General features: G+C 38.2%; 1 protein-coding gene and 1 long non-coding RNA gene across 8 annotated transcripts in view; both read left to right on the top strand.

Moving 5' to 3' along the window:
* The window catches only part of FHIT (fragile histidine triad diadenosine triphosphatase), a 1,504,176-nt gene that overhangs the window by 954,558 nt on the left and 536,288 nt on the right, over positions 1 to 13,330 (top strand). The gene's annotated exons all lie outside the window — the stretch shown is intronic.
* LOC107986015 (uncharacterized) overlaps positions 1 to 13,330 on the top strand; it is a 100,472-nt gene that overhangs the window by 59,858 nt on the left and 27,284 nt on the right. For both annotated transcript variants that reach the window (XR_007095935.1, XR_001740433.3), the window contains one exon: positions 1 to 13,330. This exon is cut by the window's left edge and continues 29,106 nt beyond it; it is cut by the window's right edge and continues 27,284 nt beyond it. This is a non-coding gene — a long non-coding RNA (uncharacterized LOC107986015).

Genomic DNA, 13,330 nt, shown 5'->3' with positions numbered 1-13,330 from the left:
AGAAAGAATAGACTTTTCAACAAATTGTACAGTTAGGAAAAAAAATTAACCTATACCTCACACCTTGCACAAAATTCATTCAAAATGTCTCATGAACATTAATGTAACACTTTTAGAAAATAAAACTTTTAGAAACTAGCAGAGGAAAAAGTCATTGGGATCTATGTCTAGGCAAAGGGTTCTTGGACTTGGCATCAAATGCATGAGCCATAAAAGGAAAAATTGATTAGTTTAACTTCAAAATTTAAAAAATTTCTCTCTGAAAGACTCTGCTAAGAGGCTAAAAAGACAAGCTGCAGACTGGGAGTAAATATTTGAAAACCACATATCCAAAACAGGGCTATTATCTAACATTTATAATGAACTCGCAAAACTCAACAACAACAAAAAAGACAAACCATTTGGAAAATGGGCAAAAGACATGGACAGCCATTTAACTGATAAACACACAAAAAGATGTTCTACATCATTAACTCTAAGGAAAATGCTAAATAAAACCACGTTGAGATATCGCTGCACATCTATGAGAGTGACAAGTGGTGACAACACTAAATGCTGGTGAAGATGCGGGGAAAATGATTCCTTTCGTGTTGATTTTTATTCAAGTTGTGAGGTTTATGTGAAAGTTCTTCTTGCTTCCCTGTTCCTCCTCTTCTTTCCCCTCCTCCTTCCCCCCTTCCCCTCTATATTAGTCCATTTCACACTGCTGATAAGAACATACCGAAGATTGGTAATTTATAAAGAAAAAGAGGTTTAATGGACTCACAGTTCCACGTGGCTGGGGAGGCCACACAATCATGGCAGAAGGTGAAAGGCACATCTTACATGAAAGGAGGTGAGAAAGAATGAGCCAAGCGAAAGGGGAAACTCCTTATAAAACCATCAGATCTTGTGAGACTTCTTCACTATCACAAGAACAGTATGAGGGAAACTACCCCCGTGATTTAATTATCTCCCACCTGGTCCCTCCCACAACACGTGGGAATCATGGGAGCTACAATTCAAGATGAGATTTGGGTGGGGACACAGCCAAACCATATCACCCTCCTTCCTATGTATGCCCAGCTGCGTTAGCACCATTTGTTGGAAAAGCTATCCTTTCTCTATTAAACTGCTTTTGCATCTTTGCTGGTAAGAATGTAAAATGATACAGTCACGCTTGATAGACAGTTTAGTAGTTTCTTAAAAACTAAACATATAACTGCCTTACAACCTACTACAGTTTGAATAGCCTCCAATCCTCACGTCAAAATTTGATCCCCACTGTTAGAGATGGGGCCTAATGGGAGGTGTTTGGGTCATGGTGGCAGATCCCTCATGAATGGCTTAGTGCTGTCCGGGTAGCAATGAGCAACTTCTCACTCTTAGTTCCTGGAGCATTTCCCTGAGAGCTGGTTGCTCAAAAACTACCTGGCACCTTTACCCTCTCTCTTGCTTCCTGTCTCGCCATGTATGTGATCTCTACATGCTGGCTCCCCTTCTCCTTCAGCTATGAGTGGGAGCTTCCTGAGGTTCTCATCAGAAGCAGATGTTAGCATCATGCTGCTTGTAAACCCTGCAGAACCGTGAGCCAAATAAACCTTTTTTCTTTGTAAGTTACCCAGTTTCAGGTCTTCCTTTATATCTATTTTTTAAGAGATTTCTTTTTCTGTGTTGCCCAGGGTGGAGTGCAGTGGCTATTCACAGGTGTAATCATAGCCCACTGTAGCCTCAAACTCCTGGGCTCAACAGATCTTTTCACCTCAGCCTTCTGAGTAGCTGGGACTACAGGCCTGTGCCACTGACCTGGCTACTCATGTATTCCTTTATAGCGACACAAGCGGACTGAGACAACCCAGCATTTGTGATCATGGTCATTTATCCAAGAAACACAAAAACTTGGATCCACACAAAAACCGTTACACAAATGTTCCTAGCAGCTTTATTCATAATGGCCAAAAACTAGAAGCAATCCAGATGTCCTTCTGCAGGTGAATAGTTAAATGAACTGTGGTACATCCATACCACGGAGGCTATTCTGCATTCAGATGAACTATTGATACATACAGCTTAATCTCCAGAGAACTTCACTGAGCGTAAAAAGCCAATTTCAAAAGGTTATATGTTGTATGATTCCATTTATATAACATCCTTAAAATGACAAAAGTATAGAAATGGAGAACAGATGAGTGGTTGGCAGTGATTAAGGATGGTTAGAGGAGTGAGGGCGGGAGCAAATTAATGTGGCCAGAAAGGGGCAACATGAGGGACCTTTGTGCGAATGGTAATGTTCTGTATGGTGGGGGAAAAACACAGGTAAGTAATTTAACTGAGGCTGTAGGTTTACTTTTGTAATTGTTATTTTAGGCACAGCATGTGGCTGTACTCATTGTTTGTAAATTCATGCCTCTTGGTGTTTAGAAACTAAAAGTGTATATAATAAAATTAGATCAGTATTCTGGTGCAAGTTCTGCTGCCAGCTAACTTGTGACCTTGGTCACGTTCTTCATATTTCCTGGAACCTGGGTTCCTCTGGAGGGCTTTCAAATGATTCATCTCTGAGGTCCCTTCCAGCTGTAGATTTTGATGGTTTCATGTTTCAGTGCATCAAATGCATTTCACCATCTCAGAAGTACGCTTGGACATGCAAGAGTGAATCTGTTATGTTATTTATCTTATTCCATCAGATGTGCTTTGCGTGGTCTGTTTTAATGCATAGAACTTACTGGCATCTCTTTTCAACAATGACAGAAGCTATGACCCCATATTCACTCCCTATGCTTTTTTAAGTCCTGTAGATTCCCTCTTCGACCCCTGAAGACACAGTGCTGTGTTGCTCCTGGAAAAATGTTGAAAAGGACTCATAACAAATATTGATTCAAAATGAATTTGTGGTTTTAGAGAAGAATATATTGCTGAGATTGCTTTTTAAAATGTAATTTGCAGTAGGTTTACCTCCTAGTGAATTCCATGGCACCTCCTGAGGCACAGTTCTCATTCTAAACTAATATATTTTTTAAGATTTTGGTTTACCTCCCATAATGATGCATCCTAGCTCAAAATAGGACTTAATTCATGTAAAACTTGACTGGTATAATTTGAAAGCCCAATTTCTAAACTTTTAAGTACATTTTGTGAGCCCTTAAATTTGCCATTCCTCTTTATCTAAAGTGGTTTTGTCCAGTGGGCACTGTTGATTTTCCCTAAATCCTCGGAGAGGAAAAGCCTAAGAGCTACACTTTCTCAGGATACTTTTTATGGCATTAAACAAGGGACCGTTTCATTTTCAATTCCAACCAGCAGGCATATTTTAGGCTCTTTCCCTATGCCCTATAATACTGTGGAAGAAAGCATATAGTTAGGTGACCTTCAGATCTGTACCTGACCTCCTTCCCCATTAAGTGACATGAATAAAACGTTGTTTGCTGGCAGAGAAGGTCGATAAAGTATACGCTTAATCTCCTTCCATGGAAATTAGTGACTTTGAAGCCATAACTGGAATATTTTTCCTCTTCTTTTCTTGTTTAGCTTCTGTGTCCTTTTTTCTTATATTTTCTAGCGTATAAATTCTGTGGTCTTTGACTTGAGATTTTTGGGAAAAGTGCAAGTAAGACATGAGTAATCTATTACTATGGGCACAGATTCCCCAATGGTCAGAACTGGCAAAGTCAAAATTTCTGTTTTCATCATTAAAATTAATGACCCTATATCATATTTAGGCTCCTCTTCTTTCTCATAGAAATGTAATCTTGGGAAAGAAATAATAACTATAAACCAAGGTGTATATTATACTATATTTGAACATCATCTCTAGATTACGTATGTTTTCAAAGACATTTTTATGCTCTGAAAGCTGTGGGTTTAATGTACTATATGTATTGGCATCAGGGGAACCAAAATGAAATATCAGTTTGATTTAGTGTTGCTATGGAGAATGTTTTAATGTTTCAATTCAATAGTTTGTAATATATTTAGGCATGCTTATACATGTATACTTCAGCAGATTTCTAGTTTGGTGAATGTTTTTTAATTGACTATCAGGGATTTAATAATAGCCATTTGAAATAAAGCCAATAAAACAAAAAAATACACATTTCAATTTCATTTTATGACTAGGCTTTCTTTAAAAGAGTTGCACACTTTTTTTCTTCATAGAAAGCTTTTCTTGATGTTTTCTGATATGTCCACTGATGGCATTCAGCTTTCATTCTTTGATTTCCTGTCTTCGTTAGTTGGTGTCTATAATTGCTTGGGTATGGGATATCTTGGCCGGCAATTTAGTTACATCTAATTATCAAGTCACAGATAGAATAATATGGCTGTTTCACACAGTTTTGTTCTGAGTATTATATGCTCTTATCCTGGCTTCTAAGGCTTTCTTAGAGCAGGACTAACTATAAATATTTGGTTGTAAAAGTTAAAGAAAGAAAGGAAAACCTCAAGAGAAATGGACGGCAGCTAACATCCAAGTTAGGAGGACACCCCTGATTTTCTCAGGCTTTTCAACTTTTATCTGGAAGGGGAAGGGGAACTCCCAACGTGTTGAGGATTTGCTCACAGTATGCTAATCCTGAGATGATATCCGACTACAGTATAATATAGGTCTTGGTTTATATTCAACTATTTCGAAGCGTCTCACAACAGCCTTGCTTAAAAAAAGACTTTTTAACACAGTGGGTTTTTAATATTTTGTTTTGAAGATGAAGGTGGTTTTCTGGTGATTATTGCAGCTGGTGTTCTCATTGCTAGTGATTTCCACCTGGGCCCTACCTTGAGCTCAATAACAGTTCACCTGGCAAGGTTGGCGCCACAGCTTCAAGTGGTGGCTCTCACGTCTAGTTGAATATTAGTATCACTGGTGTTGGTAGTCATTTCTAAGGGCTGCTGTGCCAAATTATCACAAACTTGGTGGCTTAAAAATCACCGGAATCTATCATCTCACAGTTCTGGAGGCCAAAAATCTGAAATCAAGATATGGACAGGGCCAGACTCCATGGGAAGTCTTCAGGGGAGCATACTTCCTTGCCTCTTCGAGCTTCTAGTGGCTCCTGATATTCCTAGGCTGTGGCACTCTGGCTCCAATCTTTCCTCTCTTTCCATGTGATCTTTTCCTCTGGGTCACTGTGCCCAAATCTCCCAGTCCTTTCTCTCATAAAGATACCAGTCATTGGATTTAAGGCTCACTCTAAATATGGATAATTTTGACACAGGAAGTGGAAAGAAATTATTTAAGCAGATAGTAAGGGTAAAAGAGTTCTCAGCAGAATTTTCTTTCTAATGAAAAGCATCCCAAGAAATTATTTTTTTCCTACCAAAGAGCAGCCTGAAAAATCGAGCTGAAAACATAAATAAGCAAGCTGGAAGCTTGCACAGGGGAATGCTGGCAGCTGTGCTAACAGAAAAGGGCTACCTGGGGCCCAGGCATGTCCGACATGGAGGCTCCATCTTCCCTTTTTTTGTTGTTACCATATGTACAGTAAAGAAACGGGCAACATGGCACAGCTCAGATAGAGGACGTGACAGCATAATAAAAGATTAGGGTGGAGGCGACCAGAAATTTGCATCCTATGCAAATGGCAAACCTAGTCCTAACCGGTTTTTCATGCCCTATACAAATGGCACACCTGGTCCAACTAGTCTTTCACCCTATGTAAATCAGACTCTGCCTCCTCACCAGGTATCTATAAAACCCCCTGTATTTCCCTGTGGACCGGCAACCCATTTTTCCAGAACCCCTCTCCCCAGCAGAGAGCTATTCTCTTTCTTTGGCCTATTAAACTTCCCCATTTAACCTCACTCCTTGTGTGTCTGCAGCCTTGATTTCCTCAGCTGTGAGACAATGAACCTGATTATCATCCCAGACAATGAGGCCGCTTTAGTCTCATCTGGAGATTTTTAATTAATTAATCCACAAAGATCCTAGTATCAAGTAAAAGCTAACTCAAATCAGGAAGTGATTTTCTCAGTCCAGCCTTTGGACTTCACTCCTCCAGCCCCCATGAGCTGCCTGGATCAGACTGCTAAGACTCAGGAGTTCTTGGCACAGCCACCTTTGTGAGCCCTCCCACCCCAAGTCCTCTGTCTTCCCCTCTCTGCTATTGTGTCAGATCTCTGTTAATTTCAGTTATGCCATTTTATCTCTAGGGAAATGAGTTCCAACTTCCAAACAGGCAAAACCCAATTCAGTATTTGGAACAGGACTCATTTGGAGACACAGTGTAATGCAGTGAATGAAGCACAGGCTTTGGAACTAGAAAAAAATGGTTTCATATTCCTTTTCTAGACCTTTCCTTGATAAGGTCTGAGACCCTACATGTTTTAACATCTCTGCTGTTGGTGTCAATATCTTATTGTCAGGATTAGAGACATTCCACTTCCAGATTCACTCACACGGTTGTTGGCAGGACTCAGTTCTTCTAGGGTTGTTGACTGTTGGTCTCAGTTCTCTGCCACATGAGGCTCTCCATAGGTCAGCTTGCCTTGTCTCATCAAGCAGGAAGAGGGCAGAGAAAGGGTGAAAAGGATGAAGTCACAGTCATTTATAAACAAATCACATTTCTATTTGTTAAAAGGAAATAACTAGGTCCAGCCCACATTCAAAGTGAGAGAAGATTACATAAGGGTGTGAATAGCAGGAGGTGGTGGGCTGATTAGGAGCCATTTTAGAAGCTGTCAAGCACAGTACTCTTTCCCAAAACCCATCTTATTTTTTCTGTTGGAATATCTCCTAGCATTTCTAGCTTAGGGTATGTGCTGACTTCTCGGAACACAGAGGGGCCTGGTGTCAAATTGGAATGCTGAAGCATAAGAGGTTAAAAAGTTGGCTTTGGAAAGCCACGCATAGCATCAGAAACAGTATTGTGATAAGAACCACAATCAGCTGAGATCCTGGTGGGTCATTATATCGTGAATTACTTTGCTACATGATTACACATGAACTATAGAGCTTCAGAAATAAACCACTGTAGTGGGCCAGGAGGGAACAATATGAACAGTCATTTAGAATGTGCTGCTGCAGAGAGAATAACTAAATGGCAGTTCTTTGAAGCCACTTTGCTAAACTATAGTTTGTATATCTGCTGAATGGTTCCGTGTAATAAACCATAGCAGCTACACTCTCATTCCTTCTTCTAAATACCCGGTTCTGAAACCACCATTTCAAGAGGATATTCTTGGGAGAACACGGAACATCATTTCTAGGCATTTCCATTTCTACATAATTAGAATAGAAAGACTTTCAAGTCAGCTTCAGGTTTTAGCTTGTTATATAAATAAGTTCACAGGAATCTCAAATGCTTTACAGAAATCTGACAGCAACTATAAAAGGCTTTTGAACATTTTTGTTGCCAAAGTCCTAGGGATTGCTGGAATCTTAAATAGCCCGTTTTAAGCTCCAATTCAGAAGCTTTTTGTCATGTTTAATAATGTGGTGAATAATTCCTTTTCTGTTAGTCGTTTCCTCTTTTATAATCCACAAGGATCTTTGAGCCATGGAATGGATATTTTCTGGAGCTATAAATTAAAGGTCCTTTCGATCCCAAACTTAAAATGGCCTTTTAATGTAGCACTTCTGTAAATCCATTTATCTAGGTCTAAAGATTCATTAAAATATGTTTAAATGAAAGTATTATGTAGGTATATGTCCAATGAAATGAGTGATCATTTTGAAATGAGAGAACCATGGAGAACAGATGTTCCTGTGTACAGTAGGAAATTTAATAGGAAGAAAATTATTTGTAGAGAATATTAAATACTAGAATGGTCTTCTTATTCTTCTTTCCTCCTCTTTCTTTTAAAGTAAATTAAGTTTAGTCCAGGGTCCGGTGAACCCCATTGGGTTTGTGGAGAGTGTTTATGAAAACTTTAAACTTGGATTAAAAAAATGATATCTTCACTTACACTAACCTCTGAGTAGATTTTAGCCTTTCTTTCAAGTGTGAATATAGGCAAAAGACCACGGTGGCATTGGCAGTACTTGTGACTTTCTCACCAATAGAAATCACAGATACTGTCTAATCATATTTCAGTTATTATATGTATCCCAAAACATTTGTGCTTATCATTCCTTTGAAGATATAGTTGTTAAAGCTTCCATTGGGTTTCATTGTATAATGTCTTAATAAAGAAACAAATATTAGTGTATTACATATATTTTAAAATATTTTCATGGCTATGTTCTAGTATAATCTGTATTCTCATAATCCTATGTACTTTTTTTTAAAAGTATGATTTTTGGAAGTTGTACACAGACTTCATCAGGTGGCCAAATGGACCCAGGCATGTGTGCGTGCACACACCCACACCCCCCTCCACACACACACACACACACACACACACACACACACACACTGTGCCAGAACCTAGAAAACAGAATGATTAAGGAGGTTTGCAATTCGTGGAGCAAGTGCTGGACCACAGTCACTTTGAATACATGGTGTCATTTAATCTTTCCACCAACATTGTGAGGTAGAAGTCATTATTATTCTCATTTTATAGATGCTGGATCAGAGACTTTGAGGGCACGGTAGCCAGCCTTCCAGGTGGCTTCCAGTGATCCTTACCTTTTAAAATTCTCCTCCTAGTGACATCTCCTCCCACCTTGTATTATGTTATCTCTTTGACCAGTAGAATACAGTGAAAGCAACAGTGTGCGTCTTCAGAGTCTAGGTCATAAAATCTTACTCATTTTGGGAAAAGCTAGTCACCATTTTGTGAGAACACTTAAACAGCTTTATGGAGAGCTTCCTCTAGCAAGGAATAAAGTTTCTTTCCAACAGCCAGCGCCAACTTCCAGCCTTGTAAGTGAACCTGAGGTGGATGCTTCAGCTTCAGCCAAGTCTGCAGATTATTCCCAACCTGGTGGGTGTTGTGACTCCAGTTTCCCAGAGACCTTGAGTCAGAACCACTCAGCTAATCAGCTTCAAACTTCATGACCTGCAGAACCTGTATAAGATACTAAATATTTATGGTGGTTTGAAGCCCTGAATTTTAGGGGTTAATTTGTCAAGTAGCAATAGATAACTGATACAGAGGGGTTATGTATCTTTCCCAAGGTCATATCAGTAGTAAATGAAAGAGGCTGGATGGGAACCCACTGGTGCTGATGAAGTGTGTGCAGTTTCCCTCAGCTTACCTGCACAGAGATAATCAGAGAACCCTGAATCCTTTCTTTTCCTTTTCCTTCTTTGTCTCCCCATTTTTCTTCTCTCTTCCTCTCATGCTATATGCACATAATACTTGATGATGAGATGGTAGGTCTTCTCTTTCCACACTTGATCCCCTTAAATTCTTAAATAAAATAAAGCATATCACAAAAACACCAGGTAAAATTTATTAAGCACTTAATATGTGTCTCAAACAGTGTTCTAAGTATTAAAAGCAATACTAATAAACTGTCATATATGTAGTACTCTCAGCAGTCTAATGTCAGAAGTAGACAGAAATTTTGGCTGGGTGTGGTGGCTCATGCCTGTAATCCCAGCACTTTGGGAGGCTGAGGCCAGCAGGTCACCTGAGGCCAGGAGTTTGAGACCAGCCTGGCTAACATGGTGAAAGCCCGTCTCTACTAAAAATACAAAAATTAGCCGGGTGTGGTGGCGCACACCTGTAATCCCAGCTACTGGGGAGGCTGAGGCAGGAGAATTGCTTGAACCTGGGAGGCAGAGGCTGCAGTGAGGCAAGATCTTGCCACTGCACTCCAGCCTGGGTGACAGAGCAAGACTCTGTCTGAAAAAAAAATGGAAATTTTACTTTGTCTTCATAATAAACTTAACAGATAGGTAGGGAGATGATATTGTTGCATTTTATAGATGATCTGACTGAGTTCAACATTTAAGGAATTTGTTAACATGACATGGTTTTTTCGGCATCAGGAGGAAAAGTAGAACCTGCTAATATCAAAATATTAAAAGGCAAAAGAAGGGTCATCAGGCTAATTGCAACAGCATTTATTTGAAGTAAAGCCTTCTCTGCTCTGTAGATATAAAAATATCTGAGGCCTTAACTTTTTTTTGCAGGGAAGAGCTTGGGTGAAGACCATCTTACATTTGAATTTATATTCCCAAATTGGAGGGAAGCAATGTGCATGGGATGGTAAATTGATCTCTGGATTATTGCTTGACCTTTCAGTGACATTAAAATGAAAGAAAACTGAATAAAATGATATAGCTCCACAGTGTTCTAAGCCCATTGATACAAAAACAATTTAAATAGCAAACACCGACTTTCCCTGTTGCTCTTGTCTGATTTTTAAATAACATTTTCATTATGGTTGCTATAGTAGATTAAGCTCCTTGTTAGGAGGAAAATTCAGAGGCCACTCTGTTTGAGATAAAAAATGTTTAAACTTGTAAATATCACTGTGAGAGAAAGATTGGGTACCATAAGAGTTACTGTAAATTACTTAACTGATAGCACTAATATTGAAAATGTCCTCTACAAGTGCTTCTTTTAAAAATTCAATTCCCTTCAATAAAATTTGCATACTTCCAAGGGACTTAGAATTCTGAGATAAAAGATACGTAAGAATAACAAAAATACATTTGTTTGAGGGAAAAATATTTGCAACTCATATTATGTACATAGGGCTAATGACTCTAATTTATTCCAAGTTTCTAAAAACCATTATGAAAATGATACAATAGAAAAATAGTCAAAGATTGTTGTGGCATAATTACATTTTCCAAAAGTGGCCACACCTGCATTTCTAGTTCATTGTGGTGTTCCAGATTCTTGTCATACACTATCAGGAGGTGGAGTCTGTTTTCTCTTCCTTCTGTTGAAACTAGGATAGAGAATAGAGTAGGATGCACTCAGTGCAGGTGGAGTGAATAGCATTCACCTCATGCATGTTGGTGTGTGCTCCCCACCCCTGCTTCCTCCCCCTCTACACCCACTTACCCTCTCCTGGGATGCTTTTCTTTGGAATCCAACAGCCATGCTGTGAGAGAAGCCAAATCACGTGGAGTGGCTAGCCGTGAGTTATAAGAGTTCTAGTTGATGGAAGAAAATAATTGAAATGTATCTAGCATAAAGAAAAGACAAATATTTAAGGTGATGGATATCCCAATGCTAAGTAATATGAATGTATTACATTATCACATGTACCTCAAAACTATGTACATCGACTGTGTGTCAATTTAAACAATAAAATTTAAAAAATAGAGTTCTAGCTGACAGTCTCAGCCAAGATCTCAGCTGGCAGCCAACACCAAGTACAAGACTTTCTCAGTCTTCTTTTAAAGTGTTCAAACTGGTTAAGTTAGGCCCACCCAAGATGATTTCCTAAAATTAAACTCAACTGATTAGGGACTGTAATTATGCCTGAAAAATCTCTTTACAGCAGCATCTAGATCTGTGTTTGAACAAGTGGGGAGGGACTGTAGTTCACCTTAGCCAAGTAGACAAGTGAAAAATCCATCACAGGCTTTATGAAGATTAAGAAAATGTCATAATTTTTAAGTCTGCCGTTCATTATTCATTTTATTTATCTCACTCATTCTATAGTATAACTTAAAAATGTACTTTTATGGGTGGCTGGCAGACCACTGGAGAGATAATTCATGGGGCATAAACCTATTTTTGGCATTACTGGTTATGCCTTACTTGAGTTAATTCACCTCTCAAAACATTGGCAAATGTTTATTTTTTTAAAAAATCTTACACAGGTGCTTGGTGGAGTGAAAAATACTACTTTCTAAGGGTTAATATGACTATAATAAAAATACAGAATAAATATATACCAACATTTAATATGTCTTTAATGAAGAAACCAGTGCAATCCAGGGGCATTTTGAGGACCTGGGTACTTCTAGACATTTTGTTAAAAAGGAGTTGGAGAGGGAGAATATTTGAATAAAATTACTAGGTTTTATACAAGACTGATTAGTATCCCACAGGACAATTAAACCATAAACTTCAGTGGTTCTTTCGTACTAGACAAAAACTACAAGTTAACCTATAACTTGACAGTGGTGGTACAATAATCAAAATGTATATAGCAAAGCCAAACACAGATATGTTCTTTTAGAGAATTAAATAATCCTTGAGTGGGCTTGGGGAACAAAATTCTAGTACAGTATTGAACAGACACGCCACATACACCATTGCTACCACTACTGTTAGCTTTATTTCCTAGTTTTTGATCATTTTTGTTAACCAGGGTCATATTGACTTTGAGTCATAATATTTGCTACCATGAAATTCTTTAAAAAGTCCATGCGTTATCTTAGAAACATTATGATACATAAAAAAATGGGAATGTCTCATTCTTCAGATTACTCAGAAACAATGGGTGTAAATTAGCAAAGAAAGTGAGAAAAATAAATTAAAAAAGTGTAGCTCTTTATGTAAGTATCTTATCAGTACCATGTTTCATAACATGATTTCTCTCTTAAAATAGTGAAAACTCATGGTAAAACTAAGATGACCTACCTTGTAAATACAGGCAAGTGGGATAGGTTTCAGGATTAACTCAATAGATAAATTGGAAATTAGACCTTATCTGTTAATAACTTCAGTTCTCCTGCTGCCACATACTATGTTTGGAACTGTGTTCAGTGAGGATATTTTGTTTGCATTCACATTTTGTCTAATTTCTAGCTGAACGTCTACACCTCATTTGTCTTTACATTTACCATTTGCCAATGTCACACATTGTACTGTTACGATTCTTAAATGTAAGTGACATCCATTTTCGAGAAATAAGTGTTTCATTCATGAAGGGTCTTTTTAGGTTTATGTTAAGTTTGTTCTCATTTTCAGTTTGCTCTTCAGACAAATAGTGTAATATATACTGTTCTTCTTCCTTCTTATTGAATATTTTCTACTAAACCTATCTTTTTATGATTCTGAAATGCCAGCTTCAGTTTTTTTTATTAATTCATACTGACCCTGGGCAGAGCTGTCTATCTCAACTTAATGGCTATTTATAATATATGGATGGCATTCCCCTGCCATTAATGTTTAATGAACTGGCTCCTGATCCAATAGAGTCTAATAAAGGTAATCACTAGAATACATTGTCTTTCTGCAGTGCCCTAGAAACTTCTTTTATTTTCCCTATTGTATACCTTTGGCCCATAGTCTCCTTTTTTTACCTCTTTCGGTGCACTCTTCTCAACCTCTTTTTCATTATTTAGTCCAATTGCATACATTTTTACACTTAATTTCTTTACAGGTCAGGAAGACAGTCTTCTGAGTGGAAACTTTAAAAAATACCAGCCTTACATGATTGTTAGAAAGAAAGAAAACCTTAAATACTGACAGGATGCAGACTTATTTACATGTAGAGTAGAAGAAAAACATTTTTAAAAAATCTAGGCTGCTTCTTACAGACCGTATCCCTAGTGGA

The sequence above is a fragment of the Homo sapiens genome, chromosome 3 (genome assembly GCF_000001405.40).
Source record: "Homo sapiens chromosome 3, GRCh38.p14 Primary Assembly".
NCBI lineage: Eukaryota > Metazoa > Chordata > Mammalia > Primates > Hominidae > Homo > Homo sapiens.
The sequence above is the reverse complement of the archived record's forward strand: the minus strand, read 5'-3'. Positions and strand labels throughout refer to the sequence as shown.